The sequence below is a fragment of the Homo sapiens genome, chromosome 9 (assembly GCF_000001405.40).
Source record: "Homo sapiens chromosome 9, GRCh38.p14 Primary Assembly".
NCBI lineage: Eukaryota > Metazoa > Chordata > Mammalia > Primates > Hominidae > Homo > Homo sapiens.
In genome coordinates, this window is record NC_000009.12 from 36,060,906 (window position 1) to 36,079,408 (window position 18,503).

General features: G+C 37.8%; 1 protein-coding gene across 6 annotated transcripts in view, besides 1 other annotated feature; it reads left to right on the forward strand.

Moving 5' to 3' along the window:
• The window catches only part of RECK (reversion inducing cysteine rich protein with kazal motifs), an 87,543-nt gene that overhangs the window by 23,993 nt on the left and 45,047 nt on the right, over positions 1–18,503 (forward strand). For 5 of the 6 annotated variants that reach the window (XM_017015207.2, NM_021111.3, NM_001316348.2 and 2 more), the window contains 2 exons: positions 2,890–2,975; positions 4,672–4,719. In XM_017015207.2, the coding sequence (XP_016870696.1) occupies positions 2,890–2,975; positions 4,672–4,719 (134 nt within the window). Of the gene's footprint in view, positions 1–2,889; positions 2,976–4,671; positions 4,720–5,863; positions 5,966–18,503 lie in introns of all 6 variants that reach the window. The other variant, NM_001316345.2, reaches the window with a different exon arrangement.
• Positions 3,726–3,775: a silencer, noted in NCBI's record as "silent region_19887". NCBI's record gives its function as "represses an Ori minimal core promoter by ATAC-STARR-seq in GM12878 lymphoblastoid cells {active_cell/tissue: GM12878}" and the evidence as "EXISTENCE:reporter gene assay evidence [ECO:0000049][PMID:35858748]".

An 18,503-nucleotide genomic window follows, 5' to 3' on the forward strand; every position in this document is an offset into this window, starting at 1 on the left:
CTCTTGTGAATGATACTAGACTGGAAACCCCCAAGTTATATTTTACTCCTTGTTCTTTCTAGTTCCATTGACTCTCCCCTTGCAAAATTACACCTGTCCTGTCTATTTCTAGTTCAAGTCTTTATTCTTACACTCGTGGGATAGAATATTATAATAACCTTATAACTGATGTTTCAACACATTATATCTTTCTTTCCTATCCTCTTCAAAAATAATTTATCAGGGGATATTCACTCCCATCAGAATAAAACCCAAACTCTCTAGCCTGACACTCATGATCTCCCAGGATTACAGCCTATTTGCCAGCCCTGGATAGAGCTAATTTCTTAAAAAAAAAAGAGTATACCTTATGTATCTCTGAATTCTAGAGGCTATCGCACTGTTTAAAGTTTGTATTTCAAACTGGTTGCCTTTCTGAAATTGCCCACCTCCTTGCCTGTCTCCTAGTTATGCTTGTACCCAGCATCCTTAGTATCCTGTAATTTTCTACACACACACACACACACACACACACACACACACACACACACACAGTTGCTAACAAACTGTAATCTCCCAAATAGGATAAATCATATATTTTATTTATTCCATAATTTCATAGCCCACATAACACCTAACAGAGTGCCTTGTACATAGTAGGACCTTAGTAAATATAAATGCTTTTTGGATAATTTAGTATGTTCTAAGAGGCCACTGGATACCTGGAAACAGCAGCATACTTCATTATGATATAACAAGTCACAGAGTTTATGACCTATGTTGATTCCATTTAAAATTCTTTCCAACATGTGAGGAACCTGAATAGCAAGCAGCAAAGATTTAGAAGAAACTATACTAGGCAATGAGGCTAGATGTGAATTTGTTACCCTTTGTACCCTTAAGACACATAGTGATAAGCTTATAATATGCAGTATTTTTGGTCAATTTTTATAATTGGGGTAGTTTATTATATTTTGAGAGCTTTGTCTATCTGTGAACCATTTATTTGCCTTGTTTTACTTTTTAGCAGAATGCTTCTATTTGTTGTGTGAAGTCCTAGTTTCATTTGGGGAACTATGTTACTTACTGCCTTGAATCCCTGACATTTTTTTTCAAATATAAATAATAATCCAACTTACTTCAGATATAGATACTCAAATTTATGTTTTACATAGAAGCAGCATAAGGCAATTTTAAAGGAGATAAGGAGGAATTTGCAGCATTCCTGCAAGCATAAGGCTTTTCTCTTTTCATAATTATTTCTTGCATCTCCTACTTTTTTTTTTTTTTTTTTGAGATGGAGTTTCACTCTTCTTGCCCAGGCTGGAGTGCAATGGCACAATCTCAGCTCACTGCAACCTCTGCTTCCCAGTTTCAAGCAATTCTCCTGCCTCAGCCTTCCAAGTAGCTGGGATTACAGGCATGCACCACCACACCTGGCTAATTTTGTATTTTTAGTGGAGACGAGGTTTCACTATGTTGGTCAGCCTGATCTTGAACTCCTGACTTCAAGTGATCCACCCACCTCGGCCTCACAAAGTGCTGGGATTACAGGTGTAAGCCACCACACCCAGTCTTTTGTTGTTGTTGTTGTTTTGGTTTTTTGTTTTTTTGAGACAGAGTCTTGCTGTTGCCCAGGCTGGAGTGCAGTGGTGCAGTCTCGGCCCACTGCAGCCTCCACCTCCTGGGTTCAAGCAGTTCTCCCACCTCACCCTCCCGAGTAGTTTGGACTACAGGTGTGTGCCACCATGCCCAGCTAATTTTTGAATTTTTAGTAGAGATGGGGGTTCACCATGTTGGCCAGACTGGTCTTGATCTCATGACCTCAAGTGATCTGCCCGCTTTGGCCTCCCAAAGTGCTGGGATTACAGGTGGGAGCCACTGAGCCTGGCCCTATCTCCTACTTTTGCCTTAGGATTCATTCACTGACATTTATGATTGCAAAAGGAGTTTAAAAGCAAATTGGAAGCCCGGGCGTGGTCGCTTACACCTGTAATCCCAGCAGTTTGGGAGGTCAAGGCAAGCACATTACCTGAGGTCAGGAGTTCAAGACCAGCCTGGTCAACATGGTGAAATCCCATCTCTACTAAAAATACAAAAATTAGCCGGGCATGGTGGCAGACGCCTGTAGTCCCAGCTACTCAGGAGGCTGAGGCAGGAGAATTGCTTGGACCTGGGAGGCGGAGGTTGCAGTGAGCCAAGATCGCGCCACTGCACTCCAGCCTGGGCAACAGAGCAAGACTCCATCTCAAAAAAAAAATTAGAACACTTTTTATAATTTTATCATCTTTCAGTTTCACAATCATTTGGTTGGAAGAGTCACTGCTGAACATCAATTGAACCAGAATAATACATGGTCATTTTGCCCCATGATTAAATGTGCCCATCAAAGCCAGATATACCTGACTCACAAAAATTGCCCCTATTTACTAAGTATCAGTTTTTAAACAGGATCATGAATTTTATGCTATTCTAGGTATTTACTGTTTTGAATACAGTAATACTTGTGCCCTTTCTTGTTAGTCTGCTTATGTTAAATTAAAATCTTTGCCTCTGATTAACAGTCTAACAGTAAGAAAGCTCTCTTCCTTGCTTTCCTTCCCTTGTACGTCCTCTGGTAAAGATGTTACCTACCCAAGAGTGAGAATGACTTAAAGAGCATTTAGGGTGGGAGGGAAAAGAGAAAAAACAAAAGACCTGATAATTATGCTGTGAGGGACTTTGAAAGAGACTGATAGCAGTGGAAGTAAGGGTAAAGGGAGGTCCTTAATAATTTTGAGGCCCTGCTGTCTGAACCAGTTTTCTTATGGACAGCTGCTTTGACTTTTAGTAGTAGCCTTGAAACATCTGGCATGCTATCTCTTTTTATTGCTACTTATGACCAAAACATTTAAACATTTTGTTTTTAAGGTGTGTTTAAGAAGTCTGATGGCTGGGTTGGCTTAGGCTGCTGTGAACTGGCTATTGCCTTGGAGTGTCGACAGGCATGCAAGCAGGTAACACTGGGTAGTCAGGCTCTCAAACATCATGGAGTGCAGTTTGGTTTTAGCTGTGCACATGTCTTGGGCCTTGCCCACCTCCTAGCTTTGCAGAGGTAACCCGTAAAAACTGCAAATTTAGCATTTTTTGTATAGACCATTTCCTTTTAGACTTGCTGTTTTTTTATTTATGGCTGCTGCATATGGCCTCAGCCTGCTTTTATTCTTTCTTATCATTCCTTGTCTCTGCCATGCAAAAAAGAATATTATAGGAATTTAGGTCATCCATACTTTGCCTGCAATCATGCTGAATCAATGCTGATGATGGCTGGGTAAATGTAGGCTATGCTTGGATGAGAACATTTGACACAGTTGGCTCATTTTTTCATCTCCTTTTCTCTGTTTCATCATGGCTTTACCCTGAGTGTGTTCTTATATCCCTTCTCTGCTCCTAAGATGAATCTGACTCATACACTGAGTTATTACTTATCTTTGATTTGATATAGTTCTGCCCCAATTCAGCTTAGGTGCCTGAGTTTGTCCTCACTTTGTATGTTTTAGTAGTGGTTTCTCAGAGAGGAAAAACTAGCCTCTTGGTTCCTCTACTGCAAGTGGCAGAAATAGACTTAACTGGGAAACTAGAAGTGGTTAGATGGACCTGAAACCACAGTTGGAAAGCCTTCTCTTATTTTCTTCTTCTAGGGACTTATCTCAGATAAGAGTATATGAGATATGGTATCACCTTCACTTTCACAGAGACGACTATCCTATAGCCTGAGCAACAGTCTGGGCAGCACATGACCTAGCTGTCTGCTGCTGTCCTCCAGGCATTGAGGTGAAGCTGAGTTGCAGAGGATTTGAAGTATAATGAATTTAGTGAGTTGTAAAACAGTTGCTGGCCCATTCTTCTTCTTGTTCTCCCTGTCCTCATCAGCTGGCCTGTTCTAAATTGCACTGGCCTAGGTGATAGAACAGGAAGAATGGAGCAAGGAACCAGAGCTCACAGCTCTGGAATGGAAACTGACTCATGTGGAAAAACAGCCACCCCTCAGCAGATTTTTTTTGGCTTCTTTTATATAGAAAGTATATACTTAAATATGGCAAATAGCTTGCTACTTCTCTAAGCACCAGTTTCCTCATCTGTAGAGGGGTTAGTATCTTCTTTATAAACTTGTTAAGAGACTTACACAAAAATAACTTGTTAAATGCCTGGCATAGTACCTCTTCCCTATTTAGTTGCCCCCTCCGTTATATACTCAGCAAGTTCAGAATGAAAGTTTAGAATGTGAAGAGTTAAAGAAAAAGCAAAATGTAAATGCCCTGGCAGAGCTTCACAAGAAAATTTGCTACAGAGTGGAATTCAGCTAAAAAAAAAAAAAAAAAAAAAAAAAAATCCTCTGATTTACAATTTCCTTCAAAGACATCTAGTTTCTGAAATAACAAAAGGACTGTGTTGTTATGTGAAATTAAAGCCATAAAAGTTAGAGCAAAGCTCTAGAATATTGAGTAGCCCTACAGATTATGTTTGTTTTAAAGAAATTGCATGAAATTTGTTTGTTGTATTTTAGGAAATTTAAAATATTTGAACATAAGGTTTTCCTTGATGAAATAAAGGATACTATATCAGTAATTAACAAATGCTAATTTATGTTCTTTTTGCCCTGTGCTGAATAGCATGTATAATAAATTAATGGAGAAATTTGTTGGTTTTTAGGCATCTTCAAAGAATGATATTTCCAAAGTTTGCAGAAAAGAATATGAGGTATGCATTTTATTTAACAAATGTGGATAGCCTATTCAGATGTTATCAGAATTAACAAAATTACTTAAATTTTTAAAATGAATTTATTTTTATACAACTTCCCTTTTACCTTACAGAAAATTTTGCATTGACAAAAATGTCATTTACTGTGTTCGGAAATGTTATGATTTTAGTTGATTTTTGTTGAAATGAAGTATTAATTTTAAAGAAATGCCTAAATCTCACATACAAAGGATTTAACCTATAATATTTTTATAACAAAGCAACTAGTTGTACCCAAGGTTGTGAAATAGTTTTTCTCGTGTTTCATGTTCTCTTTTGTCTCATCTCCTATCTCTTGACCCATCCAGGTGGTATTCATTTCTATAAACTACCTCTAATCATAAAGAAAAGTAATAAAAGAAAGAAAATCACAGGGCTAGTGTGAATAGCTCAGACTTTCCTAGAATCTTGCATTTGGGGGAAAAAATACTAAGTTACAAAAGCTATATTAAATCTGAAGGACTCTCATCTCAATAGTGGGATTTCTAACACTGGTATCTAGATGGGGTAGATATTAAGGCAGGGGTATAGCGGAAGTATTTTACACCATACAAATATGTGCAGAAGATTGTGCCTGATATGAAAAAACCTCCTCATTGGGGCTACTTTGTTCATTTTCTAGAACTCTGTTCTTAAATGTGACAATATTACAGTTTTTGTAGTGTAAGGCTATGTAATTAAGGATACTTAAGTGCATATATCTCATGCACCATTTTTATATACAAACATTGGGATTCCTATTGCTGTGTTTTCTTGGAGAAGGTAGAATAACTCTCTTAACTACTTCTAGGTTATAGTTTTTATTTTTTTTCTTTTCTCAAAGCCTGTATCTCTTATTTTTAAACTTGACAGTCTTATTTATCTTTTGTTCCTTTGTACTGTTTGCTAAGTTGTATCTATTCCTCTGAAGACAAATTTCCAAATTATAGCTCTCCTCCGTTCTTATTGAAAGGAGCCCTGCTACAGAGAAGTAAAAGATCTTTATTTTCTTATCTCTCTATCTTTGAAATAACCAGTTTTAGTTTCTCTTGAACAAAGTGGCTAACTGTGATAATTCCTTCTTTTCTCCTACATGATGTCTGACACTGTCCATCTTCCATAGCCTGTCCTCCGTTATTTTAGTGTGCTTCCTTCTCTTGTCTGGATTTCTGCATTGCCCTAGGAAGTCTGCCAGTATGTGTTGATGAAGGACAAGACAGGAAAGGTAAGAGAGACAAACTGTCCTATGATAGAAATACTAAGAATAGTTTACTTTTCCCAGTCTATCTTCCCTAATTTGGCCTAGAATTAAGCAACCATTTTCCAAAAATCTGTATGGCAAAAGGATCCTTTTGTTTTTATATTAAAAGTTGATCCCACAAATTCTTCAATATAAGACTCAATTTGATTTCTTACATGTTATTTAGAAACGAAAATAGAGATAAGAGTACTTTAATGCAGGAAGGGTTCTGCATTATAAACCTCACATAACAGTCACTGTCATGATTGTTGAAGTCTAGTCTAGACATAAAAGCTATTTGTTATAAAGTGAATTGGGTAAATTTGGTGTAATATAGCCTATTTTAAGTGGACTGGTTGTTTATCAACATCAGAATAATTTATGAACCAGGCTTTTAGTATCTTTTCCTTAATACTGGAATGATCCCTGGGATGAACTTGTAGATGTATGAGCCATTTCTATAGGCTTGCAATTTTAAGGGTAGCATTTACCCTGGAGAGTAGTTTTATGTATAGTTTGATTTGAGTTTCAGAGAATGAGTAATTACATTTGGAGGAGCTAATGTTTTTCTTTTTTGGTAAGCTGTTGTAGAGTTCCTTTTGAAGGGATTTGCTAAGAAATTTACTTAAAGTTTTAAAATTTTAATGCCATTTAAGATTTTGTCTTGTTCTAGCCAACCTAAGATAAACCAGTTTAATATAAAGCATTGTTACATCAGATTTTATAGAGTCTGGTTTTTTTCTTATGCAAATTAACAAGTACCTGTTGAATACTTAGAGTTTTATATATTAGAAACAGCATTAACTGGAAGCAGACTTAGTTTAGAATTCTGATTAAGCAACTTTTAGCATAACTCCAAATACTAAAGAATTATATTTAATTGAGTCAGGCTAATTAAAATATATACTGCACACATAAGGGCTCAGGGAAATAAGAAAGCAGAGCAAGAATGTTTGGAGTTATCAGGAAAAACGTTGCAAATGAGAGAGGCCTGAAAGGATTGGTATAATTTGGGTAAAGACCTAAAGACCTAAGACTGTGGATCAAAGGTATGTTATCAAAAATGCACATGGCTTATGCAGGAGGAAAAGAGAAGACAGACCTATTTTGGGCTGCAAGTCTATGCTCAGATAGGTAAAGTGGGACCAAATCCTAAAAAGATAGCATTTTGAGGCTCAACTCATTATTAATGAGAGGGTGATGATGAAGATTCTGTAAAAGGAGACCAATATATAACAAATAACAAAACCAATATTTTAGAAACTTAAATTCATAATCCTGTGCAGGCTAAGTTTTAGATCCCACAAACCCCTCTAGCTTAGCTAAAAAGAGGTAATAGCTTAGCTAATAAATCCCAGACTAGGATAATAGTAATAGAGTCAAATATTCAAGAATAAATCAGAGATTCAAAGGCAGAATCCATCAGCAAGATTCGTTATGATGGATTGAATATAGATGGTATTCAGGGAGATAATCTAATCTTTTAAGCCTAGTTTCCTGGCATTCATTTACTATTCTTCTATACTTAAAGGTACTAGTTAAAACTTCTCTTTCTGGCAATAGGGCAGGCTTGCTACCTGGACCAGTCCTCCAGGTGAAAATAACTTAAAATGCTAGATGAATTTGCTGGAAAGAAAATACGGAATGCTCAAGCCAAAAACTAAATGAAGGCAGGAATCCAGAGAAGTAAGAACAGTAAAGAAGGCATTAGCTTTGAGGGCATTTGCTGAATCAATTTTTATAGCTTTGTAGCTTCACGAGGCTCAGAAGTCAGGAGACAAATCCTGGGTTCTGATTGAAGGTGGAAAATCTAAGTGAAATCCCCTTCCCTTCCCACCAATAAATTTGGGATTCCAAAGGGACTATACACTTAGTATTAGGGTGACCAGGAAATATGCTCATCTCCCTTTCCAGGGGGATCTGCAAGGAAAACTGCTTCTCTCCAACATTAGTCTTATTCCATTGAAAATTCATAACCCTAAGCTGGTCTTCCCATGAGTTTGCAGCCCAAATTTGTATCAAGTGAGTGTTTGTAAAACCTCAAGCTGAGAATTTATTTCAAGTGGTTCTGAAATGGTAGTGGCCCTCAGATGCTTGAGAAAAGGTAACACAGATCCTCTCTGGAGGAATTGATCTTGTATTTCAGACCTCTTGGGATTTCCACGGATAAAGTCCTAAGGAAAAATAAGCAGTTCATAATAAAAAAAAGTCACAGAACTCACCAGAAAACATGATTTGTTAAATAAAAGCCAACAGGAACAATGGTGAATAGAATCAGACCTAAAGATACTTCAGATATAGAAATGATCAGATGCAGACTAAAATGTTTAATATGTTTAAGAAATAAAATAGGCTTACAAATATGAAGAGCAGGCCGGGTGCGGTGGCTCACACCTGTAATCCCAGCACTTCGGGAGGCTGAGGCGGGTGGATCACCTGACGTCAGGAGTTTGAGACCAGCTTGGCTAACATGATGAAACCCTGTCTCTACTAAAAATACAAAAATTAGCTGGGTGTGGTGGTGCACACCTGTAAATCCCAGCTACTCGGGAGGCTGAAGTAGGAGAATCACTTGAACCTGGAGGTGGAGGTTGCAAAAAAAAAAAAAAAAAAAGAAGAGCAAGCATACTTTAAAAAGAATCAAAGAGAATTTCCAGAACAGTATAATTGAAATACAAACACAATGGATGGGTGTTATAATAGTTTAGGTACAGCAAAGAAAGTAAATTGGAAGATAGAACTAAAGAAATTATATGGAAAAGAAACACAGAGGGGCATGGGGCTGAAAAATAGTTTAGGACACAGGAAGGATAGAGTGAGAAAATCCTCTCTAACTGGAGTACTAGAAGAAAAATAAATAGGATGGGCAGGAGCAGTGTTTAAAGAAGCCCTACAAATACCCAGCAGGATCAAAGGGAAAAAAATCCACATATTATAGACAGACATCATAGCCAAAGATCTTAAAAGTAGTCAGAAAAAAAGGCATTGCCTTCAAAGAAGACCAACGACTGATTTCCCAGTAGCAACAGAGGAAGCCAGAAGACAGTAGAATGATTCCTAAATGGTTCCGAAAGAAAGTAACTATCAATCTAGCATTCTATATCCAGCAAAAAGGTATTTCAAGAAAGGCAAAATTAAGCTAGTTCTAAACAGCTAAAACAAAATTGCATTAGTGGAGCCTTTCTAGAAGTTCTCTGTAAAGGAAGTTCTAAAATATCTACTTCAGACAGAAAATTATTTGAGATGCAAAAGAGAATGTGAAAATAGAAAGTGGGTAAATTAGGACACAGATTTTTAAAACAATAGTAATGTATTACTGGATTTTAAAAAAATAATTAAAACATAGTAACAGTAGCATTTATGTTGGGAAAGGAATTTGAAGAAATTGAAGCATATGATGTGTTAGGGTCTTTACACTAAAAGACCCATATCTCAGAGGTGATTAGGAATCCAGACTAAAGATGAGGAGAATTATCATGCCCACAGTCAACCTTGAAGTAACCCTTGAACCTTGGAGTGAATGAAAGCTCCATAGAAGAGAAAGTGTAAAAAGAATAGAGAGCTGGGTTTTGAAAGAGAATAGAATCTTTTAGAATCTAATAGAATCTAAAATAATCCATTCTTTTGAAAAAAAAAAAATAGAGAGTAGAGAGCTGAGTTTCTTTAGGGAACTAGAAAAGAAGGAGCCAGATACTGATCTGAAATTGATCAAAATGGAATGAGATATTCCAAAAACAGATAACTTCCTATCACTGGAAATGTTCAAGTAAAGACTTACTGGATTCATCATGTGAAGGGGATTTTTGCAACAGACAGGAGATTTGATGATCTCTCTTCCAACTCTGTAGCTCTCTTATTCTGATGAATACCTAAGAAATAATATATCCTTCACTACTTAAGAGTACTTCTTTTGAGAATCACACTTGTTTTGATTGTGGGGTCACCAGACCCTGGCCTGTAGGAGCTATCCAAATCAACCATTAGCTTGATAACTCCTTTATGGGCATGTTCAAGTATCATGGACTTGCTCAGTTCTAGGTTCTCTGCCTTTTCACAGGCTTTGTCCTTTGGCCTACCTAAAAGTATTGGTTAGGCCACATGGGGTTCATGAATGTGTTGTGAAGCTACAACCAGAGATGATATTCAAAGTATTCAGCAGCTGTAGTTACATAGGCACCAACAGTCAGAACAGATGCTGGCTGTAAACCATAGGAATAGCCATACTTGTGCACATTGGCTGATTAGAACTAAAGGAAAAATGAGTTCATGTTTTCCAGGGGGTGTGAAATACAGTGTAGATTCTTTTTGCATAGTCTTCGTTCACAGGTTGGCTGTGAACATTTTCTTCTAGCCACCAAAATTATGATTTAAAAAATTTTTTGGTTGTTGATGGTTAATTTTCTTTCTTGAATGTCACAATAAGCTTCATTAAGGTAATATGAGGCTGATGAATTCCCAGAGACTGGCAATGGCTATAAAGTGATGAGATAAATTTTAGTTTGAAGTTTGTAAATCCATTTTATACTTTTAATGGCAGACCTTACCTGCCATTCTCTTAACATAATGGCCATAAATATAAATGCCTTTACATTTGCTGTGTGAGCCACTGAAGTACAATGCTACAAATTTGCCATCATACGTTTTATATTTTTTTACTTGTTTCTTCCTTCTTTCACAGATTCTTCTCTAAGCTTTTCTTTATATTTTCAGAAATGTCATTTTCATGTCTCTCCTTTCTTTGCTAGCTTTCTTCAATACACTTTTTTGATGTTATATCATTAAGGAAGGTGAGAAACTATGAAGGAAAGTTAGTAGGGGGTATTTTTGTGAGGACTAACTTTTTTTTAGTCTTAAGGCAGTTAAGTTTTAAACTAAACAGTTGCCAATACAACTAAAATATTGTTCTGCCATGGGGCTCTGGTTCTGTGAGAATGCTAAAATTAAGACTGTTGAGGATTCTGTCTTCTGTTAGTCCCACCTATCAGTACACAGCTAAATGTATAGAATGGTGCAGGTATGTGTTAAATTTTAATTTTGGGATTTTCACATTGTTCAAAATTCAAAATGGTATACAATGAATTATGTTTCCCACAGCCATCCAGTTCCTAAAGTTACTAGAGATATTTGAGATATTTTCTGCATATAAAAGTAAATATATATATGTATAGTCCTCCTCTACCCTCCTTTACCACAAATGGTAGTTTACTATACCCTTTGTTCTGCCCCTGGATGCCAGTGTTTGGTGTATATTTATGTATGTCTACCCAGACTGTATACTGTTTCCTCAGGAAATGTCACAATAAAATGTTCTGCTTAAAGATTTCTGTGTATCTATTAATTTTATTTTGTTTCTTTTTCTTTCAAATTAACTTTGGTTCTAGATTTACTACCAGAAGCATAAAGGAAAAGGGATGAAAAATTAGCCCAATTTAGAGATAAGAGGAGCAGGGATATCAGGACCAACAGGATTCTCTGGACAGCTAGAAGCCTCCTAAGCTTCAGTGTGATTGGATCTGTACTGCAGTGGTTCTAAGAATAGAGGAGACCATCTAGTTGTGGCAGATCACAGCCTAGGCTATGGACAGTTTTGTTCCTTGCCCAGTCAGCTTTTAGGGATTTTAACAAAAGGAATCGTGTGATACTTTGCCCCAGCAAAGCCCTCAGGACCTAAAAGTAAAGCATCTTTTAGTTTATGCTGAGGCAACTTCAAGAATTGCCAGGATATAGTAAATAGAAGACTATGAATGAGAGGCTTTATAAATGGTAAAATGCTGTACCGGTATACTGTATCACAGTAGATTTGAGCCGTTACCTGCAGCTGATGAGCTCCAAAAAGAGCGAAACCTATTAGGTCCTGCAGTACTGGCTTAAGATAGTATTAAACTTTGTATGTTGTTTTGGTTTGTCGTATTTGTTTTGTAGTTGGGGGAAGGGAGTAACTCCTATTTAGTCTCCTTGCTGCTAGTGTATTTCCTTTTCCAGTTCATTCTTCTCAGAAGTCACCTGAACGAGATGATTCCAAAAGGGAATTTGATCAAATCAGATTAGATTGCGACCTGGTCTCATCTTAAGTGGCCAAGGTTTTCCCCTTAAGCAATCTCATCTCCCATAGATTTAATTGTTCTTATATGCTGACAACTTCAGAATCTTCATTGCTAACCTTTTTTTTTTTGAGCTCCTGAACACTATTGGATACATGTACTTTTGATGTTCCCTTGGAACAACAAACAATCAAACCAAAATTGATTGATTTTAAATCAACCAAATTGATTATTACTTTCTCTACCTTTTCTGCCTCCCCTTCCCTCCCTTCCACCCCTAAACAGCAACACACAGACACACACAGACACACACAGACACACACACACACACACACACACACACACACACACATCCATCCCAAAACAAAACTTATGATTTTTCTTGCATTTCTTGTTTGGTTGTACCAATATGATCCTTCCAGGCACATCAACTTAAATGCCTGAGAGGTATTGTCTACTCTTTCCTCTTTCTCATCACCTCCTGCAAATTACTGTCTCTCAAGCCTAAAGAGTTGCCTTCTAAATGTACCTTAAATCAGTCTCCCTTTCAGATCCTCAGGTATTGCCTTAGCTTAGGTCTTTCTGCCACTTTTCTGGATACCTATAATAGCTGCCAAACTAGTTTTCCTGTGTCTAATTTCTCCTCTTATCTACTATATCCACTTCTAGATTAATCTCTTTAAAGACCAAATTTGATCCATGTCACTACCTTCCTTAAACCCTTCAGTTGCTTCCCTGTAGAACACAGCTCATGCTCCTCAGCCCAGTATCCCAAGCTTTTCTCAGTCTAGCTCCTGGTTCTTCTCTCTGTTACATTTAAGCAGCATGCTACTTATAGTTTCCCAGATTGACCCTGTTGTTTTATTTGTTAGTTGTAGTTGTACAAATTGTTTGTTCCACCTGGAATTCCTTCTTCTGAATCTTGGAACAAAAAGTATAGTATATTGGAGCTGGCAATACCAGCTCCCTACCAGCTAGGGAGTACTGCTTGTTAAATATTCAGGGATTTTGCAAGCCAGCTTGTAACTTAAAATCAGCCATGGGTGGAGGTATTTGCAGCGTGAACATCAGCAAATACTGCAAATCCAGATTTTCTCCACAACCACCCCCCACAAAAAAAGCTGGTTCCAGAACATCATTACCTCTATTGAACTAGAGTAACCTTTGCCTTAAATCCTGGTTTAAATGGTACCACTTTAAAGCCTTTCCTGCCCATTCATCTTCTCTCCACACACATAAAATTGATCACTACTTCCAAGCCCTTTGCATGCTTTATTATAGCATTTGTCGCTCTATAGCATAACTATGTTTACATGTCTCTTTTTAAACTAATCCCTGAGTTCCTGGGACAGAGTTCATATAATTATCTTTGTCTCTGTCATTCATTCACTTAACATTCATTGAACTGATACACACTGAACCAATATATTTAATATGTATCAGGCATTGTTCTCAGGGTACAAAAATGAAAGGATTTAGTCTGCAAGAAGCTCATAGTCCATGGGAAGAGAGAAATCCAAATAGTCCATTACAATACAGTGAGACAAGTACATTGCTAGAATGTATTGGAGCCTGGAGGAAAAAACCCTGCCTAGGGAAATGGGGAAGTCTTTCACAGAGCAGGTAAGACTTAAAGGATGAGCAGAAAGCTGTTGCCTGTAACAAAGTGCTACAGTCAGTACTTTTATAGATAGAAAAATTTTATAGACTTTTTCCCACTCTGGAGAACAGAATTATTCAAGGTTCTTTGTAACACAGTATATCAGCTTTACGTGGAAACTCTGTGTAAATGTCTTACACTCTTGGAATGCATGGAGAAAGTGCTCATTTTCTACTGTACTGTGGAGAATGTTTTCATTCTGAGTACTATCTATTATCCCAATAATGTTGTATAGTAAACCATCCCAAAACTCCATAGCTTAAAACAGTAACAATTTATTATTTCTCACAAATCTAAGGGCTTACTAGGCAGTTCTGCTCTGGCCAGGCTTAGCTGATTCCAGCTGGGCACACTCATCTGTCTACAATCAGATGGCAGGTCAGCCTGGGGCTGCCTGCTTTAGGAAGCCCTTGGCTAAGTCAGCTCAGATCTTCTCCATGTTTTCCCCTCCCTTTAGCAGACTAGCTCAGGCATGTTCACGTGGTGGTGGCAGGAGTCCAAGAGAGAAAGTGGAAACATGCAAGTGTAGTTCGGGCAACTGCTTACTCCAAGCTTGCTAGTGTCCACTAGGCCAAAGCAAGGCAAGTCACATGGCTAAGGCCAGAGTTACTGTACAATAAATAGATATAAGGAAATGTGAAAAATTGGGGCCATTACTGTAGTCAGTTCACCACAAGCACATACTCTGTGCTAGGCTGTCTTCTAGACCTTGTGTTTCTCTGCAGATGTTACTTGCCAGTGAATTTGCTTCCAGCTGGTTGGGTGCCCTGTGGTGATAATGAGCAAATTTTTCTGAGCAGTCTAGACCTATAAAGCTCATTTCTGTTTTGAGTGTTCATTTTTATTTGCATATCTGTTGAAATGACACATTATTTGGAAGGCTGAAGAAATTTAATAATCACTTGTTTAGTGATATTTCCAAGTCATGACATTAAACTCCTTACATATTCTAGTCATCTATACTTTTTGACATTCATGGTATCCACAAGGAAAAAACACCTTGTAGAGGTTTAAAAACATTTATGTTTTTAAAGAACAGTTATATTTAACCTCTCCTACTTAGCATTTCATAAGCTGGATTTCTTCTATGAAATGTGAAACTTTAAACTGGAAGAAATTTCAACCCATCTGTGAAAAGGAAACAGATTTTTATTTATTGAGGCCTTAGAAACAAAGTAGCCCCTTTACTTTTAAGTAATAGCATAGTTAAGTAGAAAGTACTGGGCATATAAAACATTAACATAACAGTTAATAAAATGTGCTCTTTTGGGTCTTTGTCCAAAAGTAACTAAATCATCCAAAATTCAAACCTGTAATTTTTTTTTACAAGATTCATATGATCAGTGTTTTGTTGTCATCATCTTTATCATTGATGAAAATGAGAGAGAGCTGGAGTAGTCAGTAGTAAAAGGGCAGTGGACAGAGAAAGGATTGAAACAAGTGGACAAATGGAGGAATGAACCATTTTTTTCAAATCCAAAAGCCAAATCAAATTGGACAGCCAGATATACGTAGCAAGCAAAGGGCAGAGCCAGGGCTAGAACCCGGACTGCCCTACCAGTGCTCTTCCATGACACTGCGTTGTGAGAATAGTCTGGTCTCACTGTATTGCAATGGACTATTTGGATTTCTCTCTTCTGAATGCACCCAAAGCAAGGTTGAATGTTTGTTCATAGATTAATCTATTTAACCAGTTTCCTATTTTAAAAATCAATAGAAAAGGGTCACTGAAGTGGCAGAAAATAAATTGCAGAGCGAACTTCTGGGCTAGAGGTTGGACCAGCAGAGTCTACTTCCCAGGTGCACCCAAAGGGTCTTCCCCACCAAAAGGAAAACCAGTGTGGCATGAAGGATCACATAGGGTTCCCTCAACTTTGATTTACTCTGTTTTTGTGCCAGGTTTGCCCACAGTTCATATGCTCCCAACAGTGGATCAAAGGGCTTGTACTACCTGGAATTCCCTCTTCCTGAATCCATCCTAACACACCCCCACCTAGTAATATATTGGAGCTGACATCTACCAGCTTGGGAGTACTAATTGTCAAATATTCAGGAATTTAATCGCGAGAGTAGGGCAGGGAACTAGTTATTGAGAGCAGCTACCAGAGGAAAGATTTTAGGATCAAAAATAATTTTTTTAGGATCAAAATATTTTTAAGGAAAATAATATTAACCTCAAGAAAATGGTGACCTTTTTTGGTTACAATTTAAGGAGCTGATTTTAAAAATAGGGGACTGGTTAAATAGATTACTCTGTGAACAAACATTCAACCTTGCATTGGCTGCATTGAGAAAAACAACCCAGACTATTCTCAGTGCAGTGTCATGGAAGAGCACTGGCAGGGCAGTCTGGGTTCCAGCCCTGGCTCTGCCCTTTGCTTGCTTATACATATCTGGCTCTCCAACTAGATAGTGACAGCTTTTGGATTTGAAGTTCTCTTGAGACCCTGTCAACTCCAGTATGCTGACATGTTCTTTGCATCTTTGAGGTTATGGTAGATCCTCACCTCAGCACCCCTATAGTTTTGACCTATTCTTGACTAACATGAGTAGGGGAGGGAGAGGGAGCAGTTATATGGGGGCACATTGGGTGTGGTATTGGTAAGCAGGTCAAAAGAGGCTCCATAGGAGTGAATACGAACCCTCAGTTACCTCCAAAAGTCAGAAAGTTACCTTTCAAAAGTCAGATGGCAGACTTTTGAAAGACTTAAAAATTGACTAGCTAAGACTTCAAGACAGGCTGACGTAAGAAATGAAGAAACTATTAAGTTAATCCTATAACTCATTATGTGTATGTCCTAAGCCCTCTCAGACTAATCAGCAGTATTAAAGTGGTAAAAAGATAGAGTTACATATAGTAAATTTAGGAGTCATTCATCAAAGAGGGAGATATGATCAGTCTATTAAATCATGATAGGTGTAACAGAATTTATTCATCAAATGCTGGTATACTGGAATGAAGGAACATTCTTTTGAACCTTAAAATGGGTAAAGAGGCAAGATGGTATTAACACTAAAGTGTTAGTGGTTAATGGTAATTTTCACATGATGCTGCCATGTGAAAATAGAAAAGATTAGTTCAACAAATTCAGGTAAACTTAGGCACAAAAGGTCTATTAATGAACATCAAGAGAAATAAGAGATGCTTGAAGAACATCTCTGAACTCTGGATGTGACATCAAGGGAAGCAACTGTGCCGTTTTCCTTTTTCTTCAGGTATTGGGAGACTTTTTCTGTAAGGGGCCAGACAGCAAATATTTTAGGCTTGGAGATCATTCACTCTCTGTTTATTCAACTTTGCCATAGAAGTGTGCTTAGCGTGAGGTAGCCATATAAAATATCTAAATAAGCCGGCATGCACCCATAGTCGCAGGTACTTGGGAGGCAGCAGAGTGGAGGCCAACCTGGGCAACATAGCAAAACCCTGTGTCTTAAAAAAAATTTTTTAATTTAAAAAAGTAGGTAAATGAAAAAAATAATTAAAATTTTAAAAGTATGTAACTGAATGGGCATGTCTGTCTTCCAATAAAAACTTTATTTCCAAAAACAGGTGGCAGGCAAGATTTGGCTTGTGTGCCATAGTTTGCCAGCCCCTGTTGTGAGTAAAAGCTATTGTCCATAAGTATTTCCCCTTTCTAGGCCTTGGCCTCTGACTTCTATTAAATAAGGAAGTTGGACTAGATGATTTCTCACATTTCGCAGGTTTTATCTCCTTTAGTAGTACCTCTCCCTGAAGCTAAGTGATCCACAGGCTGAACCACAGTGACATTTATTTGTAAAGTCAGTTTTTTAAACATCCAGGTTGAACAAATGTATAAGTCTCTAGAGCAGAGTTTATCAGTCTTGGCACCACTGGCATTTTGGTCTGGATAATCTTTTGCGGGAGGGAGACTGTCCTGTGCAGTGTAGGATGCTTAGCAGTGTGCCTGGCCTCTACTCACCAGATGCCAGTAGCACTCCCCACCCCTCAGTTGTGATAACCAAAAATGTCTCCAGGCGCTGCCAAATGTACCATGGGAAGCAAAATCACCCCTAGTTGAAAACCACTTCTGTGGAAAGTTCAAAAATAACTAGAAAAATATCAAATACTAGAAAATCAGGCCATGCAACCCAAGATAGCCACCAAGTTATCAAACATATTTATTCAGGTACAAGGTCAAAAAAAGCCAAACCAAAGGGAACAAAGATCTTATTAGAAGGAAAAGAGCAATGAGAATTGCATTCATCCAGTCAAAGAGGGCTAGAAAGTTGGTAGCCGACTACCTTTATTTTATTTTATTTTATTATTTGTTTGTTTGTTTATTTGTTTATTTATTTATTTATTTTGAGACAGAGTTTCGCTCTTGTTTCCCAGGCTGGAGTGTAGTGGCATGATCTCGGCTCACTGCAACCTCCGCCTCCCAGGTTCAAGTGATTCTCTTGCCTCAGCCTCCTGAGTAGCTAGGATTACAGGCATGCACCACCACGCCCGGCTAATTTTGTATTTTCAGTAGAGACAGGGTTTCTCCATGTTTTTCAGGCTGGTCTCGAACTCCCGACCTCAGGTGATCCTCCCACCTCGGCCTCCCAAAGTGCTGGGATTACAGGTGTGAGCCACCTCGCCCAGCTGGTAGCTGACTACTTTTTAATATTGATTTAGATCATTTTAAAAGTGTTCCTGAGTCCAGTGAATCCATTTAAATAGAGAGTTATCTATAATGCATAACTGAAAAGTCACACTAAAAGAAGGAAACATGAATGAAGAGAGATATAAACAAGATCATTGTTAATGAACACTAAGAATATTTACTTTTTCACTCCTGTTATATTGCTTGATGGAGTC